A 26113-nucleotide genomic window follows, 5' to 3' on the forward strand; every position below is an offset into this window, starting at 1 on the left:
ACTTCCCTGCCTCAATATTTTTGTCCACAAGGTTCCCGCTGCCTGAAATATCTCCAGGACGGCATTGAAGTTACTGTGTTCGTCTATTTCCTCAAACAAAATAAAATCCTCAAAGGCAGGAACTCTGCATGGTGCCTCACAGCACAGGTCAAGAAAAGCTTGTGCCAAGCATGATGTCCTACTGTATTTTGCCCAGGAACCATTGTTCAGAAATCCACCTAATGAAGACAGAGGGAGAATAACATTGCATTCTAAGTTACATGTAATTGAAAATGACTCGTGGGAATCTACGTAAACACATTTGAACCTGTCTTCCCTTGCTTCTGACGTACTGTCCCCAACTTGGTCTTAAATGTCCCCATGCACTGTCTTCCTGGCTCATCACCAAAGCCTGGAACTCTCAGAAAATCCCAAAGGCGCAATAGAAAGTTTCCATGTTTCTTATTGCTTCATCTTGCTTTCATGATTCTACATGTTCCCATTTTAAAGTGCATTACAATATACAAAAAAAAAAAAAGCATAAAATAAGACCCACAGAACACTAAAATTTAAAACAGTGGGACAAGACATAACACATAAAGGGGTAAGTAAAGATAAAAGGCATGAGGAGACATGTACTATCAGCAGAGCCATAGCAGGGACGTAGCACAGTGCTGTGTCAGGGGCACAGACATTGGAACCTAAACTACCTGGATTTCACTCTCAGTCCACCACTTACTTAACTTCTCTGTGCCTCAGAGTCCTCACCTTGAAAATGGGAATAATAGGGTGATTCTAGGATTAAACCCACAGTACCATAGAGTTGGTTCTTGTTATCTGAGGTAGTTATGTTCTATAAAGTTGCTGAGGGTTGGGCACAGTGGCTCACACCTGTAATCCCAGCACTTTGGGAGGCCAAGGCAGGAGGACTGTTTGAGGCCAGGAGTTCAAGACCAGCTTGGGCAACATAGCAAGACCCCATCTCTACAAAACAATAAAATATTAACTGGATGTGGTGGTATGCACCTGTAGTTCCAGCTACTTGGGAGGCTGAGGTAGGAAGATCACTCGAGCCCAGGAGTTTGAGGCTGCAGTGAGCTGTGATTACACCACCACACTCCAGCCTGGGTGACAGAGTGAGATCCTTTCTTTAAAAACAAACAAACAAACAAACAACAAACACAGATTTGCAGAGAACATTGAATTAGCAAATACTCAAACATTGCTTCTAGCCGAAATACAGAGTTGTTTGCTTTGAGCACCTGGTCATATTATTTTTGTCAATTGGCCAACATATAACCTTGTTTTGTGTGTGTTTCTATTTAAAGACACCTTATTTAATATATATTGTTAGTTCATTAAAATTGAACCCACTCCCAACTGCACTATAATTCCTGCCTGAATAAAGCAGATCAGTTGATAAGCTTATCGGCTGATAAGTACATATTTTCTCTGTAAGGCACATCACAGCTTTCTTGCACTTTGGAACACTAGACATCACTTCAGCACTATGCTTAGAGACCTTTTTAAATTGCAAAACCACCAAGAAAAGCACACAAATGTGAGAAACAGCACTAAAATAGGAGGTATTTTATAGATGTGATTAATATCTGTGGTTAGTTGATTTAGTAAAGGAGATTGTCCTCAACAATGAGAGTGGGCCTTATTCAATCTATCGAAGGCCCTCAAAGCAAATACCAAGGCTTTCTAGAGAAGAAATTCTGTCTCAAGACTGTAGCATCAACCCCTGTCTGAGTTTTCAGCCGGTCAGCTTGTTCTACAGATTTCAGGCTTGCCAGTCCTCACAATCATGTGAGCCAGTTCCTTTAAATAAATCTTAATACACACACATATACATGCACACATTCACACACACATACATATACCTCCTGCTGGTTCTGTTTCTCTGAAGAACTCTGATATTCTTGCTTTCAATTATTTTTCCCCTTGTGGTGATGCAGTCAAGTAGGGTGGTGTATTAGTCTGTTTTCACACTGCTATAAAGCATACCTGAGACTGGGTAATTAGCAAAGAAAAGAGGTTTAATTGGCTCACAGTTCTGCTTGGCAGGGGAGGTCTCAGGAAACATACAATCATGGAGGAAGCTGAAGGGAAAGCAAGGCACATCTTACATGGTGGCAGGCAAGAGAGAGAGAGCGCGGGGGAAACTGCCACTTGTTAAACCATCAGATCTCGTCAGAACTCACTCAATATCATGAGAACAACATGGGGGAAACTGTCCCCATGATCCAATCACCTCCCACCAGCTCTCTCCCTTGACACTTGGGGATTTCAATTCAAGATGAGAATTGGGAGGGTACACAGAGCCAAACCATATCAGATGGACACCTGATTGGAAATCAGGAAGTCCAGATCTTTGTCTCATCTGTGTCCCTTCATCAAGGTTTTCATCAGCTATAGGGTTGGGCTGGCCATTCTCTGTGGGCCTGTCTAGCTTCAAGACTCCCTGGGAAGAGGAAATCACATGAGCAAAGGCCTCCTTCTCTCCCCTACCCTGTCTTCCAACTCTCGTGGTAGAATCACAGAGTGTGAGAGTTGGATAGAACCTTAGAGATTATGTCATCCAAGCTCTTTATTCCTTCATTCCCTTGAGGATAAGTGTAAAAACCCAGGTTCATGCTCCCTTTCTTCCTCCTAAAACTGGGCATAAACATTTGTAGGACTTGGTCAGTCTGTTGCCAGATTCTCTGAGCCCTTGGGAAGTCCTGCCAAGTGCGGCCTCAACAACAAAAAACCATGAGAAATTAGGGACCGGGATGGGAGAGGGTGGGGAAGAGGGGATTCTTTGAAAGTCCTGAAATGCTAGCAGAAAATTGATCAAAGCCGAGATGAATTTCACCCATCTCTTCTAACGAGCTGCTAATATTGGAGTAGCAGCCTTGTCAGGATAATTTGTCACATATGTCCCTGTGTGGGCTGAAGCCTCTTCAGAGTCATCTTCCCAGCCCACTGCCACAGGCGACTTGTCTGAAACAAAGCTCTAAGACAGAATGGAAAGGAAAATGCAGGGGAAGGGAGGTGCATTGAATGGCCACTGACAAGTCATCTGGGCTCCCTCCTCCAGATCTTGCAACTCCAACCACATCTACTTTCATTACGCCGGAAGAGCCTGCTGTTACTTCTATGACATTTCTGTTACTGCCACAACTGCGATGCCCACTGTCCCTAAGATGCTGCCCAGAAAAGCAAATTGCCTCCTGAAAAATAACACAGTGTCAACACTAGTTAACAGACCAATAAAAAACTCTGAGACGTGAGACTTCTTGCTGAGATGGGCTCGGCAGAGATCCTTCAGCCAGGGCAGAGTTCTTTAGGGCAGAATGACTGCTGGTGACCCCGGAGGACCTCAGTCTGAGCATCAGCTGTGGGGTGTGAGTCTCACACAGTGAGTCCATCCATCACAGGGGGCCCTAGCACTTGCTTCAAGTGGCTCTCAGGCCAGACTATCAGTTGGCCAACACAGTCACCACCAGAGCCTCACAAAGGTCTCATTCTTTCTCTCTGCTTTTAACACCAAAATACCAACAAGACATCTGTTGTGGGAAGACCAGAGAACAAAAAGATGTAACAGAATCCAAGGTGAAGTGGGTAGTGGGGGCGTGTCATAGGCCAGGTTATACGAGGTCTTCAGAACTGAGCCATTCAGCCTGGAGAAGAAAAGACATAATTTTCCTTGTTTTCTCATATCTTTAACAACATGCTAAATAAACAAAGAAATTTTACTGTAGTTTTTCAAGTAAGATTCCTAAATCATCTATATGTTTAATATACCTATTTATATGTATCCTGCTTCAAACCAGAATAGATCTGAAGTTGTACTATTTGTATGCAATGTTAATTGCATAACCCCATCCTATCTTTGCACGTGACAGCCTGAGGGTACCCAGAAACCATCCAGGTAGGCCAGCTTCATCATTTATCTTTAAAGTGATTTGCCCAGACTGGTGAAGTGACTATTCAAAAACTCATACAGCCAGTGCTTGGCAGAATCATGTTTCAAACCCAGGTATCTTCAAAACCCAGTGTTTTCCCTACAATTACTACTATAATCATTTTATGAGTTACAGAGGAATGAAAGTACATGGGGAAGTTCTCTGTGGACAGGGTGGGGCATTGCAGGTTCAAATCCTTTATCAGAGCTCAGAAAGTTGTCATCTGAGCTGCCAGGAGCACCAGCAAAAGAGGATCCTAGCTAGAGATAAAAGTGGAAATGGAGGCAACCAGGAACTGAGACTAACTTAGTTAAACTGAGACCAACTTAGCGGAGAAAGGTCTCCGCTAAAAAATTATTGAAGACATGAAATCACTAATTCTGACTTGACCATGACACTGGAACAATCTGTGTTCATAAGCCATAAGTTGCACACCAATTCTGAGGAATATGCTAGACTGCTTACCTGTTAGGGAAGGAGTTACCCAGCCTCAGACCTGAAAACTTGCATATTGCTGATGCTTGGTTATGCAGCGCTTAGAGGAAATGAAGGAGAGAACATGGTACAAAGAAGTCTCACACTCCTGCCCAGTGACAGGTGAAGACAATGTAGGTGAATAAGGGGAGGAAATTCTCTGATAAAGTCATACATAATCTTCTAAGGGGAATAGCAAGTCAGCATTCCAACACGGAAACAGCAAAGAAGAGTGAACCAATGTTTTCTTCCCCCTTCACTGAGCTATCTTTCTACTCTTATCTCTCCTGTGTCTTTTTTCATTTGGCTTCTATACGAGAAAGGAATATATAGCAAGTTAATGTGGAAGGCACATTTTGGGTGTGGGGGTGGGAATCAAGAGAGAAATATCTTTCTAACCAAATGTTGGAAGTCAGTTTTATCTATTTTTCTTCTATTGTACATTTTTTCCCTTGTTCTTCTTCCCTAGTCAGCCAGAATAAACAAAATCTGGATGCTAAAGATCTACGTGAGGCAGTGTTTGAAAGAGACCCATTTATCATATACTATGAAAGCAAACAGGAAGAGGAAGAGTGGAGAGCTCAAATGCATGGCCTCAGCAGCTATGAGTTTCCCTGTCTTGCAATTTCCCCCCAAGAAGAATAGCTGCAGTGGTTCTCATTTCTCCTTTCCCCTCTGGCTGAGTTGCTGAATTCACCTGCCATCTTCATTGACCTGTAAATGACCCAAATTCTCAACTGCAGAGCACAAAGAGACTCCAAATAGGTGAATAAGATAACACATGGAAAGCACTAAGCACAGGGCATGCAGTAAGCACTCAATAAATGTTCCCAGCTGCTGCAGCCATGCTTGTCGTCATCTCTCTTCTCCTCATCATCATCCTTGTCATCACCTCCAACCTGCAAGTGGACTGCTGGGTCATAGTTTGTGTTTCAGTCTTGTTTTCAAAAATGAGTGAATAAATGTTAAATCTGGTAGGTCTTTCCAATATCTCTAGGGCCTTTGGTGAGTAAGTAGAATGAATTTGGCAGGTAGCTCATGGTTTCACACATCTAGAGTTCTCTCTGTTTTTCTCTATCTCTGTCTCCCACTCCAACTTAACTGATGTTCTAGCGAGATAGAATGTACTGAATATTTTGAACCAGTATATGACTATACAAAATTACCCCCTTTTTTTTTTGAGATGGAGTCTTGCTCTGTCACCCAGGCTGGAGTGCAGTGGTGTGATCTCGGCTCACTGCAGCTTCCACCTCCCGGGTTCAAGCAATTCTCCTGCCTCAGCCTACTGAGTAGCTGGGATTACAGGTGTGCATCACCACGCCTGGCTAATTTTTGTATTTTTAGTGGGGGGAGGTTTCACCATTTTGGTCAGGTTGGTCTTGAACTCCTGACCTCCTGATCTGCCCACCTCAGCCTCCCAAAGTGCTGGGATTACAGGCATGGGCCACCGTGCCTGGCCAAAAATACCTATTTTTTTAGTGATAAATGTACAGTCTAATTTTATACATATATGTATATATTATAATTATATATAATTGTATTATATATTTATATATTATATATAAAATGAGAAATTATATCTATAATTTTACGTATATAAATATATATGTAAAAGCTCTGCCAATTCTCTCTCTATAAATATATATATTTGTTTTTCAATTTTATATATATAATTGAAAATGTATTGTTTTGGTGACCTATTTTGACAAACAATTGTATTAATTACCTTGCATTTAATATCTTTTTATATTATTATAACATTTTTAATATTATGCAGGTAATATGTACCTGCATTCTCCATTGATTCTTGCAATTCTTTTCTCTCTTGTTGGAGTATCTTTCCTTATAATTTTTTTAGAGATCTATGAAGGGTTAAACTTTCTGTATTTGTTTTCTAAAAATATGTTTATTTTATTGCACCTCTTGAATGATAGTTTAGCTAGGTATAGACATCTAACTTTTATAAGTTAGGAATTGCATCTGGCTAAGGGATAGCAACCTGACCAAAGAGACTGGTGTATGGGGCTAGTGTGATGCTTGACAAAAGACAGGTATTTTCTTTTATTATTTAGTAAGAGGCTGGAGATTGGAATTCTTTAGGCTGGTGCAATTGCTCAGAGAAGTAGTCAAAAACTCCTTCTATCTTACTATAAGCAAACCTTAAGCTGTGGTTTTAGTTCTCATTGTCACAGAATGGTTTGTGTACCTGTAATTATTAAGTCCATATTCCAGAGAGGAAGAAGATAGGACAAGGAGAAGGATAGTATACATAGGTCAGCTGTGTCTATTCCTTTTTATTAGAAAAACAGAATTCCAGAGACCTCCACCCTATAACTTTCTGCTTACATGTCTATGTCAGATGGACAGTTCTAGTTACAGGGGATTCTGGAGAAGTATTTTTAAGTGGACATGTTACTACTTTAAGTAATATTGGAGTATTGTTAATTAGCGAGAAGCAAGAGAAAAAGATATTATAAAGAAAACTAGAAGTGTTGTCACTTAGATTCATAATCATTTCATTTCTGTATTCAAAATTACTTCATACTTTTACATAGTATATTCTAGATGGGAAATCTGATGTTGGACTCTTTCTTTAAATCCTATTCCAATTGTCCTACTAACTCTGTAGTCTTTGTGTAAGTTCTTCCATTTGCTGATGTTACTACTTCTCTCTCATAGTGTTGACTCTTCTCAAATAGTGGAGGCTTCTCACTTGAGTGCCTGTTTCTGTAGTTGAGATTCGATTCCCTGTTATTCTTTTTTTTTTTGAGACCGGGTCCCGCTTTGTCACCCAGGCTGGAGTGCAGTGGTGTGATCACGGCTCACTGTAGCCTTAACTTCCTGGGCTACCACACCTGGCTAAACAGGGTTTTACTGTTAGTCTGTTGGCTACCTCTGTTGTGAGGCTAGTTCACTTGTAGTTTCCAAAATAATTTGGGGAGCAGCTGAGCCTGCTATAGCGCAGGACACCATAGCATTTAATATTCCACGTGGTGCAGTCCTTTACTTTCTGGGAGTGGCAAGCCAGCCAAAGCTCTTTGAATTCTCTCTTTCCTGAGGTCTCACGGTCACTTTTATTTCCTGAGTCAGAAGCATCTGCTACTGCTGCTTATGGAGCAGGGGAAGCCAAGTGCAAGGATGAACCCAACTGGCCCCTCCTCCTGTGGCATCACAACTAACCAGTCTCCTGGTGGTTCTTCCTCACCTTTGAGTCCTGGCTTCTACCACCTCCAGACAGGAGCTTGCTCAGGGCTTCTCCCGCCTTTATGTTGCAGCTGTCTCCTGGGCTTGTCCTGGCCTCCAGCTTTTCTTCCTGGCTGATGCTCCCTCTGTAGTTTTCCATTTGCATTCTTTTAAGATTTTTCATAGTTTCTGGTTCCCTGATAGTTCTCTTCTTTCCAAGTAAAATAATGCATATGCATTTATTTCCATGGATTTGATGTGAGAAGGGGGAGTCCACAGCCTGTGATTTTCCATCAACTGAATACTTTTTCAAATGTACTATGAAGCACATTTGCATCTCTTTGTTTCTGATATTATCTCTGTTATCCTAGAAAGTTGATTGTGCAGTTACTATGAGACTCAGTTCACTGATGGAGAAACTAAGAGAGCACAGTTAATTATGATAATTCCCTATATTTAACATTTGGATTTGTTTGCTTTGTGTTTTTTGTTGTGTTTGTTGGTTTTGAGATGGAGTCTCACTCTGTCACCCTGGCTGGAGTGCAGTGGTATGATCTCGGCTCACTGCAACCTCTGCCTCCCGGATTCAAGCAATTCTCCTGCCTCAGCCTTCTGAGTAGCTGGGATTACAGACATGTGCCACCACAACCGGCTAATTATTTGTATTTTTTTTGTAGAGACAGGGTTTCTCCATGTTGCTCAGGCTGGTCTCGAACTCCTGTCCTCAAATAATCCACCTGCCTCGGCCTCTCAAAGTGCTGGGATTACAGCCGTGAGCCACTGCACCTGGCCTGACATTTGGTATGTATCCTTCTGATTATACTTTCACTCCTGAATTCTTTTTGTTACACCTTTAAGGAAATTTGAAGGGCAGAGAATAAGTCCTCACTCTTGTGAGTTGCAAAGCCTAGATGCCTACACAGCACGCTAGAACATACGGTATACCAGCTCTAGTCTGTCTTTGCACCCTTCTCATGGGCCTGGTGTCCTTGTTTTTGCCTGGATATTTCTGCCTTATTCTTTGCAATGCCCTCCAAACCTTCTCAGATCATCTGTGCTGTGTAAAAGGCCAGGAAAATAAGCAGTCTCTGGATTTAGTGCTGGGAACTGGAGCTATAATAGCATGAATTCATGTCCCCAGTAGTCAAGGTAGGAAGAATCAGGAGCAAATCGAATCCTGCCTTTCAGAAAGTTCGAAGGAAGAAATTCAGGGAAATGAATGTTTGTTGTTAATTCCGAGGGAAAAAATGGAGCTACAAAATTAGAATCAGAGTCAAAGAGTAAAAATCTGGCAGAATAGGAATTATTATACCAAAGAGTAAAAAGAAGAAGAGGAGGAGAAGGAGGAGGAGAAAAACCACCTTGACCACTATCAGCAAAAAAGGATGATTTTTCTCAAATTGGGTTGAAGTTCATGGGGCTCAAACTTTTTGACTCCTGGTAGTCTGGTCTATGCAGATATGAAGATGCAAGGTTAGGGTAAGCACTCCTCATCTTTTCTCTCAAGCTCTTTCTCTCCATCAGGACAAAATGAGCTATTCTGATAAATTAAGGAGAGGATGAATATGCTATCATCTTTTAGGTAATATATTTAGAGCTAATTTGGGGTTCCTGTCAACACCTTCCCTAATTCACTAATGGAATTTGGGAGGCCTTAAAAGAATGCTGGTCATTTGGAAGAGGTCATAAACAGACCATATTCTTTAGAAACTTGGAATTGTCTTGTTGTGCAAGGTAAACCTTGCCAAGAACACAGCAATTATTTTCAACTACCCTAAGTCCCCTAAAATTGAGAAAAGATGAGGTGTGTTTTTGCCCACTTGATCATAAATACCTGTTTTAAAACAGGGCAGCCAATATCAGATGTAAAAATGATTAGTGGGAAGAGAAATCTTACCCCTTGTGTAGCTCTGATGCTCCTATGAGGTAAATATTGATAGGCAGAGTGTATTTTTCCCAGTTTCACTTTTCAGAGCTGTTTCATCTTAAATATTATAGACAAAAGCTTAATGAAGCTGAAGGGTCAAAGACTGAACATAACATGCTGTGTTTACAGTATATTCTCTACTCATAGTGCCCTACTTAAAAACCTTGCCATCTTTCCTGGTGCTCTTTTTCTTTCTACTAGACCCAGCAAGAAAGTTGACAACCTAAATGCTTCCTTTTGCAACTCCCAGATCGTGATATTTCTGTGACATACTGAGCTGCCGAGAAAGCAAATGGAAATTAAGATGACAAAAACAAACTCCAAAGTAGAAAACTCTACTCTCTGGATCCCTGCAAAAATCTCCCAGCTGTGATCCAGAGAGATGCCCATTTTGCATATTTCTTCAGCAAACCCCCCAAGGTGTACCCTAGCACCACCAGCTTTACTAATGAAATGATCCGCCTCTCCCATCCTTTTTCTTTTTCTATGAGTTCCTGAGAAGAGAGCCTGAAGTGACTCCAGGGATAGAATAATGGTTCCGGAAAGAACATTTAAAGGGATTACAGTTGCTCTGAGCTTATTTAAATTTTATCTTCTTAAATGATTTCTCTGACTACCTACCTGAGGCTGCTTTTCTAGTTCTCTGAATTGCCAACACCCTTAGAATATATTGCATATTCTGATTTTTACCTTTTATTCCTAAGTACCATTTTATGGTTGCTCTCTGTTTAGAACCTTGTCTTCCCCAATGCAGCATCAGTTTTGCATGCTCAGAGATGGTTGTTCCAAGTTCTTGGAGGTACAGAGTATCTGGGACACTGGACACAGGGCAGGCAGAGACTTTGTAAGTACTGCTTCACTTGGCCTGAAAGAAATGATCTAATTATTGTCCTCAAGTCAACATGTCTTTATTTAAAGAAAATGGCGCCATTTTTAATGTCCACAGAGTAATAATTGAAAGGAGTTTGGCATAAATTTAAGCAGGAGAGATTCTTTCAATCAGACCCAGAATATATGCAAAAGCCTTCTATAGCTGTGGATAGTGTGATAGATACGCATCATTCCACGATAGGGCTGGTGACAAATGGGGTATTAGCTGAAAGTGTCTGGGGTAGGTGAGGGCTGCTTTCTGACTGTTTGATATACACCTACATAATCACAGGGTAGTGGTAGAAGGTGGGCAATGAAATGCTTACCAGATAAATCCAGTGCAAGAAAATATGTTTATAAAGCAATATTGATAAGGTTGCTTTTACAATAAAATGGACATACAATAAAATGTGCCCATTTGAAATGTATTCAATACGTTCAATAAGATTGGGCAAATGTATACATTCATGTACCAAAGACCCCAATTAAGATACAGAATATTTTCAAAACTCCAGTAAGTTCCTATTGTTCCTTTGCCATCAGTCCCAACCCATTCCTGTCCCCAGCTCCAAGTAACAACTGATATGTTTTCTTGCAGTATAGATTAGTCTGCCTTTTCTGGAGTTTCCTATAAGATGAATCATATAGTATTTGTTTTGGGGATGTGTGCCAGGCTTTTTTTATTCTCCATAATGTTTTTGAGATTCATCTATATGAAACTAGCCCCATTGTCCCATAGAATTGCTGTTTATGATTTCATTTGAATAAGCACAGAAATTTACCCACCCGGTTTTAAAGCTTGAGACAGTTACAATTGTCTTATCAGAGTTCCTTTCTCAAGAAACCAACCATTCGGCCTCCCAGACAGTATGGAGGAGCTGAAACTCACCAGATCACTGCATCTGGGCAATGAGATGCCACCAGACCTCTTACCCATCGTGATGCCTAACCTACCACCTGCTTCCCATTGACCAACTTCTCTTCCTTACCCCTCCCTGTTCCTGTTTTTTTACACATGGTTACATTCTTCCCTGCTATGTAAACTTCTAATTTTAGTCAGTCAGGGAGATGGATTTGAGAGTGATCTCCATCTCCACAGCTGCAGTACCCAATTAAAGCCTTCTTCCCTGGCAATACTCATTGTCTCAGTGATTGGCTTACTGTGCGGTGAGCAGCAGGATCTACAAAGAACTCCTAGTGTTTTAGTAACACATATTGTTGTATGTTACCAGTAGCTGGTTCTTTTTTATAGGTGAGTAGTATACTATAGTATGAAAGTACTATATTTTGTCTCTCTATTCACAAATGGTGAGCATTTGAGTAGCTTAGGTTTTATCTATTAGGAATAAAGTTATAATGAACATTGTGTTCAAGTCTTTGTTTCATTTCCCTTGGATAAATACTGTACTCAGGAATGCAATTGCTGGATACGTGAAAAGTGTACTGGTAAGTTTATAAGAAACTGTCAAACTGTTCTTTAAAAGTGTTAGACCATTTTAGATCCCCATCATCAATGTAGGAGCATTCTAGTTGCTCTACATCCTTGTCAACATTTGGAATTGTCAGTCTAATTTTAGCCATTCTAGTGGATCTATAGTGGCATCTCACTGTGTTTTTAATTTTTATTTACTGGTGACTAATAATATTGAGCATCTTTCATGAGTTTGTTGGCTATTCATTTATCTTATTTTGTGAAGTATCTGTTAAAATCTTTGTTCGTTTTTAAATTTGATAGTTTGTCTTGTTGTTATTACATTAAACAAGTACTTTATATATTCTGAATATAAATTTTTTGTTTGATGTAGGAACTGCAGATGTCTTCTCTCAGTCTCTTCCTTGCCTTTTCATTTTTTTAGTGGTGTCTTTTGTAAAGCAAATTATCAAAATTTTAATACAATAAAATTATTTGTTTGCTTTTTTAAATGGTTAGTGACTTTTGTGTCCTATACTAGAAATATTTCCCTATTCCAATGTCACAAGGATATTCTCCCTCATTCTTCTTTAGATCATGGGAAATATTCAGATTCTTCCATATTTTCTTTTAGATCACCTTTTTGTAAAGGGCCAGATAATCTATTTTTTTTCTTTTTTTTTTATTATTGTACTTTCAGTTCTGGGATACATGCGCAGAATGTACAGGTTTGTTACATAGGTATACATGTGCCATGGTGGTTTGTTGCACCCATCAACCTGTCATCTACATTGGGTATTTCTCCTAATGCTATCCCTCCCCTTGCCCCCCACCCCCTAACAGGCCCCAGTGTGTGATGTTCCCCTCCCTGTGCCCATATGTTCTCATTGTTCAACTCCCACTTATGAGTGAGAACATGTGGTGTTTGGTTTTCTGTTCCTGTGTTAGTTTGCTGAGAATGATGATTTCCAGCTTCATCCATGTCCCTGCAAAGGACATGAAATCATTCTTTTTATGGCTGCATAGTATTTCATGGTATATATGTACCATATTTTCTTAATCTAGTCTAACCTGGATGGGCACTTGGGTTGGTTCCAAGTCTTTGCTATTGTGAATAGTGCTGCAATAAACATACGTGTGCGTGTGTCTTTATAGTAGAATGATTTATAATCCTTTGGGTACATACCCAGTAATGGGATTGCTGGGTCAAATGGTATTTCTGGTTCTAGATCCTTGAGGAATTGCCACACTGTCTTCCATGTTGTGGGAAGTCAGGGACCCCAAACAGAGGGACCGGCTGGAGCTGCGGCAGAGGAACATAAGTTGTGAAGATTTCATGGACATTTACCACTTCCTTAATAATACTCTTTTAATTTCTTATGCCTGTCTTACTTTAATCTCTTAATCCTGTTATCTTTGTAAGCTGAGGATGTACATCACCTCAGATCCACTGCGATGACTGCGTTAACTGTACAAATTGATTGTAAAACATGTGTGTTTGAACAATATGAAATCAGTGCACCTTGAAAAAGAACAGAATAACAGCAATTTTTAGGGAACAAAGGAAGACAACCATAAGGTCTGACTGCCTGCGGGGTCGGGAAAAAAGAGCCATATTTTTCTTCTTGCAGAGAGCCTATAAACGGATGTGCAAGTAGGAGAGATATTGCTAAATTCTTTTCCTAGCCAGGAATATTAAGACCCTGGGAAAGGAATGCATTCCTGGGGGGAGATCTATAAACAACCGCTCTGGGAGTGTCTGTCTTATGTGGTTGAGATAAGGACTGAAATACGCCCTGGTCTCCTGCAGTACCCTCAGGCTTATTAGGGTGGGGAAAAAACTGCCCCCTGGTAAATTTGAGGTCCAACCAGTTCTCTGCTCTCGAACCCTGTTTTCTGTTGTTTAAGATGTTTATCAAGAAAATATGTGCACAGCTGAACATAGACCATTATCAGGAGTTTTTGATTTTGCCCTTTGCCTTGTGATCTTTGCTTTGCCCTTTGCCTTGTGATCTTTATTGGCCTCAGAAGCATGTGATCTTTGTTCTCCTTTTTGCCCTTTGAAGCATGTGATCTTTGTGACCTACTCCCTGTTCATAAACCTCCTCCCCTTTTGAAGTCCTTAATGAAACCTGCTGGTTTTGTGACTCAAGGGGGCATCATGGTCCTACTGCTATGTGATGTCACCCCTGGCAGCCCAGCTGTAAAATTCCTCTCTTTGTACTCTTTGTACTCTTTCTCTTTGTTTCTCAGACCAGCTGACACTTAGGGAAAATAGAAAAAACCTACGTTGAAATATTGGGGGTGGGTTCCCCCGATACTTCCACAATGGTTGAACTAATTTACACCCCCACCAACAGTGTAAAAGCATACCTATTTCTCCACATCCTCTCCAGCATCTGTTGTTTGCTGACTTTTTAATGATCACCATTCTAACTGGCATGAGATGGTATCTCATTATAGTTTTGATTTGCATTTCTCTAATAACCAGTGGTGATGAGCTTTTTTTCATGTTTGTTGCCCACAAAAATATCTTCTTTGGAGAAGTGTCTGTTCATATCCTTTGCCCACTTTTTGATGGGGTTGTTTGTTTCTTTCTTGTAAATTTGTTTAAGTTCCTTGTGGATTATGGATATTAGCCCTTTGTCAGATGGGTAGATTGCAAAAATTGTTACCCATTCTGTTGGTTGCCTGTTCACTCTGATGATAGTTTCTTTTGCTGTGCAGAAACTCTTTAGTTTAATTGGATCTCATTTGTCAATTTTGGCTTTTGTTGCCATTGCTTTTGGTGTTTTAGTCATGAAGTCTTTGCCCAGGCCTATGTCCTGAATGGCATTGCCTCAGTTTTCTTCTAGGGTTTTTATGGTTTTATGTCTTATATTTAAATCTTTAACCTATCTCAAGTAAATTTTTGTATAAGGTGTAAGGAGGGCTTCAGTTTTCTGCACATGGCTAGCCAGTTTTCCCAACACCATTTATTAAATAGGGAATCTTTTCCGCATTGCTTGTTTTTTGTCAGGTTTGTCAACAATCAGATGGTTGTAGATGTGTGGTGTTATTTCTGAGGCCTCTGTTCTCTTCCATTGGTCTATATATCTGTTTTGGTACAAGTACCATGCTGTTTTGGTTACTGTAGCCTTGTAGTATAAAGTCAGGTAGCGTGATCCCTCCAGCTTTGTTCTTTTTTCCTTAGGATTGTCTTGGCTATATGGGCTCTTTTTTGGTTCCATATAAAATTTAAACTAGATTTTTCTTATTCTGTGAAGAAAGTCAATGGTAACTTGATGGGGATAGCATTGAATCTATAAATTACTTCGGGCAGCATAGCCATTTTCACAATATTGATTCTTCCTCTCCATGAGCATGGAATGTTTTTCTATTTGTTTGTGTCCTCTCTTATTTCCTTGAAAGTGGTTTGTAGTTCTCCTTCAAGAGGTCCTTCACATCCCTAGTAAGTTGTATTCCTAGGTATTTTATTCTCTTTGCAGCAATTGTGAATGGGGGTTTGCTTATTATTTGGTTCTCTTTGTCTATTATTGGTGTATAGGAATGCTTGTGATTTTTGCAAATTGATTTTTTATCCTGAGACTGCTGAAGTTGCTTATCAGCTTAAGGAGTTTTTGGGCTGAGATGATGGGGTTTTCTAAAGATACAATCATGTCATCTGCAAACAGAGATAATTTGACTTCCTCTCTTCCTATTTGAATATGCTTTATTTCTTTCTCTTGCCTGATTGCCCTGGCCAGAACTTCCAATAATGTGTTGAATAGGAGTGGTGAGAGAGGGCATCCTTGTCTTGTGACAGTTTTCAAAGGGAATGCTTCCAGCTTGCCCATTCAGTATGATACTGGCTGTAGGTTTGTCATAAATAGCTCTCATTATTTTGAGATATGTTCCATCAATACCTAGTTTATTGAGTGTTTTTAGCGTGAAGGAGTGTTGAATTTTTTCGAAGGCCTTTTCTAAATCTATTGAGATAATCATGTGGTTTTTGTCATTGGTTCTGTTTATGTGATGGGTTATGTTCATTTATTGATTTGTGTATGTTGAACCACCTTGCATCCCAGGGATGAAGCCAACTTGATCACGGTGGATAAGCTTTTTAATGTGCTGCTGGATTTTGTTTGCCAGTATTTTATTGAGAATTTTCGCATCAATGTTTATCAGGGATATTGGCCTGAAATTTTCTTTTTTTATTGTGTCTTTGCCAGGTTTTGGTATCAGGATGACGCTGGTCTCATAAAATGTATTAGGGAGGAGTCCCTCTTTTTCTATTGTTTGGAATAGTTGCAGAAGGAATGGTACCAGTTCCTTTTTGTACCACTGGTAGAATTTGGCTGTGAATGCATCTGGTCCTGGGCTTTTTTTGGTTGGTAGGCTATTAATTACTGCCTTAATTTCAGAATTTGTTATTGGTCTATTCAGGGATTCGACTTCTTCCTTGTTTAGTCTTGGGAGTGGGTATGTATCCAGGAATTTATCCATTTCTTCTAGATTTTCTAGTTTATTTGTGTAGAGGTGTTTACAGTATTCTCTGATGGTAGTTTGTATTTCTGTGGGATCAGTGGTGATCTCCCCTTTATCATTTTTTATTGTGTCTATTTGATTCTTCTCTTCTTCTTTATTGGTCTGGCTAGTGGTCTACCTATTTTGTTAACTTTTAAAAAAAAACCAGCTCCTGGATTCATTGATTTTTTGAAGGGTTTTTCATGTCTCTATCTCCTTCAGTTCTACTCTGATCTTAGTTATTTCTTGTCTTCTGCTAGCTTTTTAATTTGTTTCCTCTTGCTTATCTAGTTCTTTTAATTGTGATGTTAGGGTGTCGATTTTAGACCTTTCTCACTTTCTCCTGTGGGAATTTAGTGCTATAAATTTCCCTCTAAATGCTGCTTTAACTATGTCCCAGAGATTCTGGTACATAGTGTCTTTGTTCTCATTGGTGTCAAAGAGCTTATTTATTTCTGCCTTAATTTCATTAATTACCCAGTAGTCATTTAGGAGCAGGTTATTCAGTTTCCACGTAGTTGTTTAGTTTTGAGTGAGTTTCTTAATCCTGAGTTCTAATTTGATTGCACTGTGGTCTGAGAGACTGTTGTAATTTTCATTCTTTTGCATTTGCTGAGGAGTGTTTTACTTCCAATTATGTGGTTGATTTTAGAATAAGTGTTATGTGGTGCTGAGAGGAATTTATATTCTGTTGATTTGGGATGGAGAGTTCTGTAGATATCTATTAGGTCCACTTGGTCCAGAGCTGAGTTCAAGTCCTGAATATCCTTGCTAATTTTCTGTCTCGTTGATCTGTCTAATATTGACAGTGGGATGTAAAGTCTCCCACTATTACTGTGTGGGAGTCTAAGTCTCTTTGTAGGCCTCTAAGAATTTACTTTATGAATCTGGGTGCTCCTGTATTGGGTGCATATAAATTTAAGATAGTTAGCTCTTCTTGTTACATTGATCCCTTTACCATTATGTGATGCCCTTCTTTGTCTTTTTTGATCTTTGTTGGTTTAAAGTCTGTTTTATCAGAGCCTTGGGTTGCAACCCCTGCTTTTTTTCTTTTCTTTCCATTTGCTTGGTAAATCTTCCTCTATCCCTTTATTTTGAGCCTATGAGTGTCTTTGCTTGTGAGATGGGTCTCCTGAGTACAGCACACCAATGAGCCTTGACTCTTTATCCAATTTGCCAGTCTGTGCCATATAAGTGGGACATTTAGCCCATTTATATTTAACGTTAATATTGTGTGTGAATTTTATGATGCTAGCTCGTTATTTTGCCCATTAGTTGATGCAATTTCTTCATAATGTTGATGGTCTTTACATTTTCGTTTGTTTTTGCAGTGGCTGGTACTGGTTTTTCCTTTCCATATTTAGTGCTTCCTTCAGAAGCTCTTGTAAGGCAGGCCTTGTGGTGACAAAATGCCTTAGCATTTGCTTGTCTGTAAAGGATTTTATTTCTCCTTCACTTATGAAGCTTAGTTTGGCTGGATATGAAATTCTGGGTTAAAAATTCTTTCTTTAACAATGTTGGATATTCACCTTCATTCTCTTCTGGTTTATAGGGTTTCTGCAGAAAGATCTGCTGTTAGTCTGATGGGCTTCCCTTTGTAGGTAACCCAACCTTTCTCTCTCACTGCCCTTAACATTTTTTCCTTCATTTCAACCTTGGTGAATCTGATGATTATGTGTCTTGGGGTTTCTCTTCTCAAGGATAATCTTTGTGGTGTTCTCTGTATTTCCTGAATTTGAATGTTGGCCTATCTTGCTAGGTTGGGGAAATTCTCCTGGATAATATCCTGAAGTGTGTTTTCCAACTTGGTTCCATTTTCCCCATCACTTTCAGGTACACCAATCAAACATAGATTTGGTCTTTTCACATAGTCCCATATTTCTTGGAGGCTTTGTTTGTTCCTTTTCATTTTTTTCCTCTAATCTTGTCTTCACACTTTATTTCATTAAGCTGATCTTCAATCTCTGATATCCTTTCTTCCACTTGATTGATTTGGCTATTGATACTTGTGTACGCTTCACAAAGTTCTTGTACTGTGTTTTTCAGCTCTATCAGGTTATTTATGTTCTTTTCTAAACTGGTTATTCTAATTAGCATTTCCTCTAACCTTTAATCAAGGTTCTTAGCTTCCTTGCATTGGGTTAGAACATGCTCCTTTAGCTTGGAGGAGTTTGTTGTTACCCACCTTCTGAAGCCTATTTCTGTTAATTCATCAAACTCTTTCTCCGTCCAGTTTTGTTCATTTGCTGGTGAGCAGTTGTGCTCCTTTGGAGAAGAGACATTCTGGTTTTTGGAATTTTCAGCCTTTCTGCACTGGTTTTTCCTCATCTTTGTGGATTTATTTACCTTTGATCTTTGCTGTTGGTGACCTTTGGATGGAGTTTTTGCATGGTCGTCTTTTTGTTGATGTTGATGCTGTTGGTTTCTGTTTGTTTTTCTTCTAACAGGCCTCTCTTCTGCAGGTCTGTTGGAGTTTGCTGGGGGTCCAGTCCAGACCCTGTTTGCCTGTGTATTACCAGCAGAGGCTGCAGAACAGCAAAGATTGCTGCCTCTTCCCTCCTCTGGAAGCTTCGTCCCAGAAGGGCACCCGCCAGATGCCAGCTGGAGCTCTTCTGTATGAGGTGTCTGTCGACCCCTGCTGGGAGTTGTCTCCCACTCAGGAGGCATGGGGGTCAGGGACCCATTGGAGGAGGCAGTCTGTCTCTTAGCAGAGCTTGAGCGCTCTGCTGGGAGATCCACTGCTCTTTTCAGAGCCAGCAGGCAGGAACATTTAAGTCTGCTGAAGCTGTGCCCACAGCTGCCCCTTCCACCAGATGCTCTATCGCAGGGAGATGGGAGCTATAAGCCCCTGACTGGGGCTGCTGCCTTTCTTTCAGAGATGCACTGCCCAGAAAGGAGGAATCTAGAGAGGCATTCTGGCTACAGCAGCTTTGCAGAGCTGCGGTGGGCTCTGCTGAGTTCGAACTTCCTAGTGGTTTTGGTTACACTGTGAGGGGAAAATCACCTACTCAAGCCTCAGTAATGGCAGACACCCCTCCCCCAACCAAGCTCAAGTATCCCAGGTTGACTTCAGACTGCTGTGCTGGTGGCGAGAGTTTCAAGCCAGTGGATCTTAGCTTGCTGGGATCCATGTGGGTGGGATCCACTGAACGAGACTACTTGGCTCCCTGGCTTCAGCCCCCTTTCCAGGGGAGTGAACGGTTCTGTCTTTCTGGAGTTCCAGTCACCACTGGGGTATGAAAAAAAACTTCTGTAGCTAGCTCGGTGTCTACCCAAATGGCCGCCCAGTTTTGTGCTTGAAACCCAGGGCCCTTGTGGTATAGGCACCTGAGGGAATCTCCTGGTCTGTGGGTTGTGATGACCATGGGAAAAGCATAGTATCTGGGCTGGAGTGCACCATTCCTCACGGCACGGTCCCTTATGGCTTCCCTTGGCTAGGGGAGGGAGTTCCCTGACCCCTTGCATTTCCCCAGTGAGGCGATGCCCCACCCTGCTTCAGCTCACCCTCCATGTGCTGCACCCACTGTCTAACCAGTCCAATGAGATGAGCCAGGTACCTCAGTTGGAAATGCAGAAATCACCCACCTTCTGCATTGATCTCTCTGGGAGCTGCAGACTGGAGCTGTTCCTATTTGATCATCTTGCTCAGGAATCCTTTTATTTTTTTGAGATGGAGTTTCACTTTTGTTCCCCAGGCTGGAGTGCAATGGTGCAATCTCGGCTCACTGCAACCTCCGCCTCCCAGGTTCAAGCGATTCTTCTTCATCAGCCTCCTGAGTAGCTGGGATTACAGGCACCTGCCACCACACCTGGCAAATTTTTGTATTTTTAGTAGAGACGGGGGTTTTGCCATGTTGGCCAGGCTGGTCGCGAACTCCTGACCTTGTTATCCACCCGCCTCGGCCTCACAAAGTGCTGGGATTACAGGCGTGAGCCACCGTGCCCGACCGATAATCAATATTTTTGACTTTATGGGACATATGGTCACTGTCATAGTATTCAACTCTGCTGTTGTAGCATAAATGCATCATTGATAATACACAAACAAATGAGCATGGCCAAATCTGGCCAGTGGACCAGTTTGCACACCCCTGTTTTTGCCTTATAGCTAGGTCTATGAGTCACCTTCAGTTAGTTTTGAGTCTACGAGTCACCTCCCCTTGGTTTTGGGGTATGGTGTCAGTAAAGGATTGAGATTCATCTTTTCACATTTTACCATGTATAAATCCAGACTTTCCAGCAGCATTTGTTCAAAAGATTATTGTTTCCCTATTTAATGACCCTGGCATCTTTTACAAAATCAATTAACCATAAAAGGTGATTATTGGTTACTGTGGGTTTAAAGTCATTCTTGAACTCTAGAAGCATGTGTTCTTCAACTTTGTTCTTTTTATTTTTTCAATATTCTTCTGGCTTATATAGATCCTTTGATTTTCTAACATAAATATTAGAAAGAGCTTTTCAGCTGGGGTTTTTTAATTGATTACATTGAGTCTACTAATTAAAATGGGGAGAATTGTCATCTTAAGAACATTAAATCTTCCAGTTCATGAACATGGTATATATCATTTATTTAGGTTTTGTCTACTTTCTTTTAGAATTTGGTCTGCAGGTCTTAAGCATATGTTGTTAAATTTGTTTTCAAGTATTTCATTTTGGATAGTATTACAATGGCATGTTTTTCATTTAAATTTCTAATTTTTCCATTCAATTGATATTATATAGATATAAGCTGAATTTTTTAAATATCCAACTTGTATTCTGTGAACACGCTAAATACACCTTTTAATTCTACCATTTTTTGGTAGATTTCTTTGGCTATTTCATACACAAAATCATGTTTTATATGAATTAAAACATTCTGCTTATTCCATTTCATCTGGTCAAGTTTGTTTTTCCTCTTGCCTTATATCACTGGCTAGAATTTTTACTATAGTAAATATTCTATAAAAGCAGTGTGAGTGGGCATTCTTATCTTTCTCCTGATCTTGGGTGGAAAGCATTTAGTTTTTCCATTAAGTATTATGTTAACTCTAGATTTTTCACAGAAGATTTTTATCAGGTTTGGAAGTTGGTTTCTATTTCTAGTTTGCTGCAATGTTTTACTCTTTTTAATCATGAATTGTTGTTAAGCTTTGTTCAATGCATTTGCACAGCTATTGAGATGCTAATGTGGACTTCTTTTTTTAAAAAAAAGCTTTACATGTGGTAAACTACTTCAGTTGATTTTCAAATGTTAAATCAGCTTACATTCCTGGCATAAATCCCACATAGTCATGGCATGTTATCCTTTTAATATTGCTGGATTCTAGTTACTAATATTTCTTAAGGATTTTTGCATCTACATTTATTAGGGATATTGATCTGTAGTTTTCATGTAATGTCTTTGTTTATTTTTGATATTAGGGTAATTCTGTGCTCATGAAATAAGCTTTGAAAAGTTTCCTCCTTTGTTTTCTGAAGAATTTCTGTAGAATTGATATTATTTCTCTCTTAAATGTTTCATCTGGGTCAGGATTTCATTTTGTGAAAAACTTTTCACTTTGATTTTAATTTACTTAATAGATATAAGGACATTCAGACTTTTCTATTTTATTAGTTTTGGTAATTTACATTGTTCAAGGAATGTTTTCATTTCATCTTGGTCAAGGGTTAGCAAACTTTTTCTATAATGGGACAGATATTAAATATTTTAGACTTTATGGAACATCCAGTCTCTGTCGCAATTAATGAATTCTGCCACTCATACATGAAAGCAACCATAGACAATACAGCAAGCCCTCCGTATTCATAGATACTGCATCCATGGATTCAACCAACTGTGGATGAAAAATATTTGGAAAAAAATGAAACCTGTACTGAACATGTACAGACTTTTACTCTTGTCATTATTCCCTAAACAAAACAGTATAACAACCATTTACATAGCACTTACATTGTATTAGCTATTACAAATAATCTAGAGATAATTTAAAGTACACAGGAAGATGCACATGAATTATATGCAAAATACCACATTTTATATCAGAAATTTGAGCATCTGCAGATTTTGGTATTTGTGGGAGGTCCTGGAACCAATTCCCCACAAATACTGAAGGATGATTGTGCATAAACAAATCATTATGACTGTGTTCCAACAAAACTTTTTAACTAAAACAGGTGGCAGGCCAGATTTGACCTACTGCCATAGTTTTCCTGCCCTGGTCAAATTTTTGACAAGAGCTGTTTGTAGTATTTCTTAGTTATTATTTTAATGCCCATAATATCTAGGGTGATATCCCCTTTTTCACTTATAGTAATGATAATTTTCCTTTTGTCTTGATGAGTCAATACAGTAATTTTCTTTTTCTAAGAACTATCTTTGGGTCTTATTTATTTTCTCTATTTTTGTTTTTGTTTTATATTTCATTGACATCTGCTCTTATCTTTAACATTTTATTCTTCATTTGCTCTGCATTTAATTTCCTCTTCTTCTTCCAGCATGGTAAGATGGAAGCTTTAATAATAAAGAACCATTGTTATATTTTTTTTTTTGACAGGGTCTGACTCTGTCACCCAAGCTGGAATGCAGTGGTGCGATCTTGGCTCACCTGCAACCTCCATCTCCTGGGCTCAAGCCATCCTCTCACCACAGCCTCCCAAGTAGCTGGGACTACAGGGGCGCACCACCACGACCAGCTAATTTTTGTATTTTTAGCAGAGATAGAGTTTCACAACACTGCCCAGGCTGGTCTTGAACTCCTGAGCTCAAGCAATCTGCCTGCCTTGGCCTCTCAAAGTGCTGGGATTACAGGCATGAGCCACTGTGCCTGGCACCTCCTACCCTTTTTTTAATACCAGCATTTAAAGCTTTAAATCTTCTTCTAAATGTGGATTTAGTTGCATTTCACAATTATCTTATATTGTGTTTTTATTTTAAGCTAAATTAAAAATATTTTCTATCTTTCTTTGTAATTTCTTCAACTCATGAATTATTTAGAATTATTACTTAATTTCTAAGTATTTGGAAAATTTTTAAGATTAAAAAATAGTTTCTTAATTTAATTCCAATGAGGTCAAGAATATTCTCTGTACTATTTCAATTCTTTGAAATTTGACACATTTTATGGCCCAGACTTTAGCCAATCATGGTACATGTTCCACATATACTTGAAAAAAAAATGTATATTCTGCTGCCAGTGGGTGAAATGTGCTATATACATCATCTAGGTCAAGTTGGTTGGCAATGTTGTTCAAATCTTCTATACCCTAACTTATTTTTTCTACTTGTTCTTGTACTTGTTATTATTATTTATTATTATTATTATTATTTGAGACAGAGTCTCACGCTGTTGCCCAGGCTAGAGTGTGGCATGATCTTGGCTCACTGCTACCTCTGCCTCCCAGGTTCAAGCAATCCTCCTGCCTCAGCCTCCTTAGTTGCTAGGATTACAGGTGCCCACCACAATGCCCAGGTGATTTTCATATTTTTAGTAGAGATGGGATTTCATCATGTTGGCCAGGCTGGTCTCGAACTCATTACCTCAAGTGATCTGCCCGCCTCAGCCTCCCAAAGTGCTGGGATTATAGGCATGAGCCACTGTGCCTGGCATTCTTGTACTTTTAATAGCAAAAACTGCAATTACTTCTGCACCGGCCTAATATAAAGCAAGAACAGTAAAATCTTCAACCATACGTCTCAATTTGTTTTTCTCTTCAGTTCTCTTAGAATTTGCTTTGTCTGTTTCAAAGCTCTGTCATTAGATACATACACAATAAAGAAGGTTATCTTTAAAAAACTTTTTATCATTATGAAATGTTACTGTTTATAACTGACAATATTCTTTGCTTTGAAGTTCATTTTGTCTAATATTAATGTATCTACTCCAGCTTTCTTTTGATTATTGTTTACATAGGCTACCGTTTTGTATGATTTCACATTTACCCACTTTAAAGTGAGTTTCTTGTAGACACATTATACTTGTGTTTTGCTTTTTAATCCAGGCCAACAATCTCTGCCCTTTAATTCAAACTTGTAATACCATTTACCATTAAACCATTCACAATTAATGTAATCTAATGTAAACATAACTCTAGCCAGGTTGAAATCTACCATATTGCTACATAGTTTCTATTTATTATATTTGTTTTATTGTCCTTTTTCCTCTCTTCCTGCCCTTTTAAAAAAATTCATTACATCTCTACTATTGGCTTTTTAGCAATATTTCATTTCATTTTTGTAATTCTTCTATATAACTGTATTCTCAGTCTACCTTGTGATAATATATCAGTTCATCTATTATCTAAGAAACTTACAGCAGTGTTCTTCCATTTCCTACTTCCCTCCCTATGCTATTATTTCCTTACATTTTATTTTGATATATTTTATAAACCCTGTAATACATTGTAGCTTTTTAAAATTATTTTTAACTGATCAATCATCTTTTTGAATGACAGATCAGCTTTGCATTCCTAGAATAAAATTCACCTGGTTGTAATATACTATGCTTTTCATATTATGTTACATTTAACTTTCTAAAATGATTAATATATCACTAGAAATTATCTTAAGTACAATAGCATAATCACAGTGTAATGACAGAGAATATCTAGGGGTTGTGGACAAGATTAGTTGATCAGGATATTGCACTCAGAGAAGATAACATATAAGCTGCAACCTACAAGATAAGAATGAAGCCATTACAAACAAATTTGTTCCAACTCTATCATTCAGTAATTCTGTGAACACTAGTAGAAGGAGAAAACAGTCTAATTGAAATTTTAGAAATTTTAGGCCAAAATTTTTATTTTATAGGTGAGGATATAAAGCTCAGAGGGAGTGAAGGAGTAATGTGATTTACCTTAAGTTTCTCAGTGACCTATCTGCAGATCTGGGACCAGTCTGCTTCTCGTAACTATAGGCCAAGTGGTAGATCCAATACACATGTGCTCATATCACAAAAGTTGGTTTCAACTTACAGTGTCTGTGGTTGTAAGAAGGATATTGCACTAACACTTGGAATGATCCAGTCTAGTTTGCCTGTAGACTCCAGAGATGACTTTGGCATTGAGTGGAGTTTTAAAAATGTTAAAACTAGCAGCCAGGTGCAGTGGCTCACACCTGTAATCCCAGCAATTTGGGAGGCAGAGGCAGGCGGATCACTTAAGGTCAGGAGTTCAAGACCAGCCTCGCCAATATGGTGAAACCCCGTCTCTACCAAAAATACAAAAATTAGCTGAGTGTGGTGGCTTGCGCCTGTAGTCTCAGCTACCTGGAAGGCTGAGGCAGGAGAAGCACTTGAACCTGGGAGGTGGAGGGTTGCAGTGAACTGAGATTGCACCACTGCATTACAGCCTGGGGGACAGAGCGAGAGTCTGTCTCAAAAAAAAAAAAAAAGAAAAGAAATAGTGAGTTCGCAAAGCCTCTGAGTCTACGAAAAGGTGCAATTCCTACTGTCTCAACACTTGCTCTGAAAGCTGTGTCACAAATTTGGCCCTCATGCCAGCTTACCATTCCCTTCCTCATATTCCTTATAGAGAAGTTGCCACATTCTACCATCTTATCACCAGGGATCCTTTGTTTCTCCTTGCTTGACCTTGAACCAGTCTTTTCTCTCAGAATAACCCTACCAGATTAGAATTTTCAAAGGCAATTATCAAAAGGAAATTTAAAAGGAAGTTCAAAACCTTGAAAGCAAATGTTCTCCGGGTGAGAAAGATCCTTCCCTAAACTGGCCTCAAGATTCCTTCTTTAGGTCTTACCAACCTCTCCTACCCTTGTGAGAAACTCTACAAGTCCCGCCCTCTTCTGATCCCTGGTTTATTCTCCCT

General features: G+C 39.5%; 1 annotated feature.

Moving 5' to 3' along the window:
• Positions 13315 to 14514: an enhancer, noted in NCBI's record as "CDK7 strongly-dependent group 2 enhancer chr10:33979034-33980233 (GRCh37/hg19 assembly coordinates)". NCBI's record gives its function as "activates an origin of replication core promoter dependent on BRD2, BRD4, P300/CBP, MED14 and CDK7 cofactors, with strong dependence on CDK7, by STARR-seq in HCT116 cells {active_cell/tissue: HCT116}" and the evidence as "EXISTENCE:reporter gene assay evidence [ECO:0000049][PMID:35650434]".

The sequence above is a fragment of the Homo sapiens genome, chromosome 10 (genome assembly GCF_000001405.40).
Source record: "Homo sapiens chromosome 10, GRCh38.p14 Primary Assembly".
Classification (NCBI taxonomy): Eukaryota; Metazoa; Chordata; class Mammalia; order Primates; family Hominidae; genus Homo; species Homo sapiens.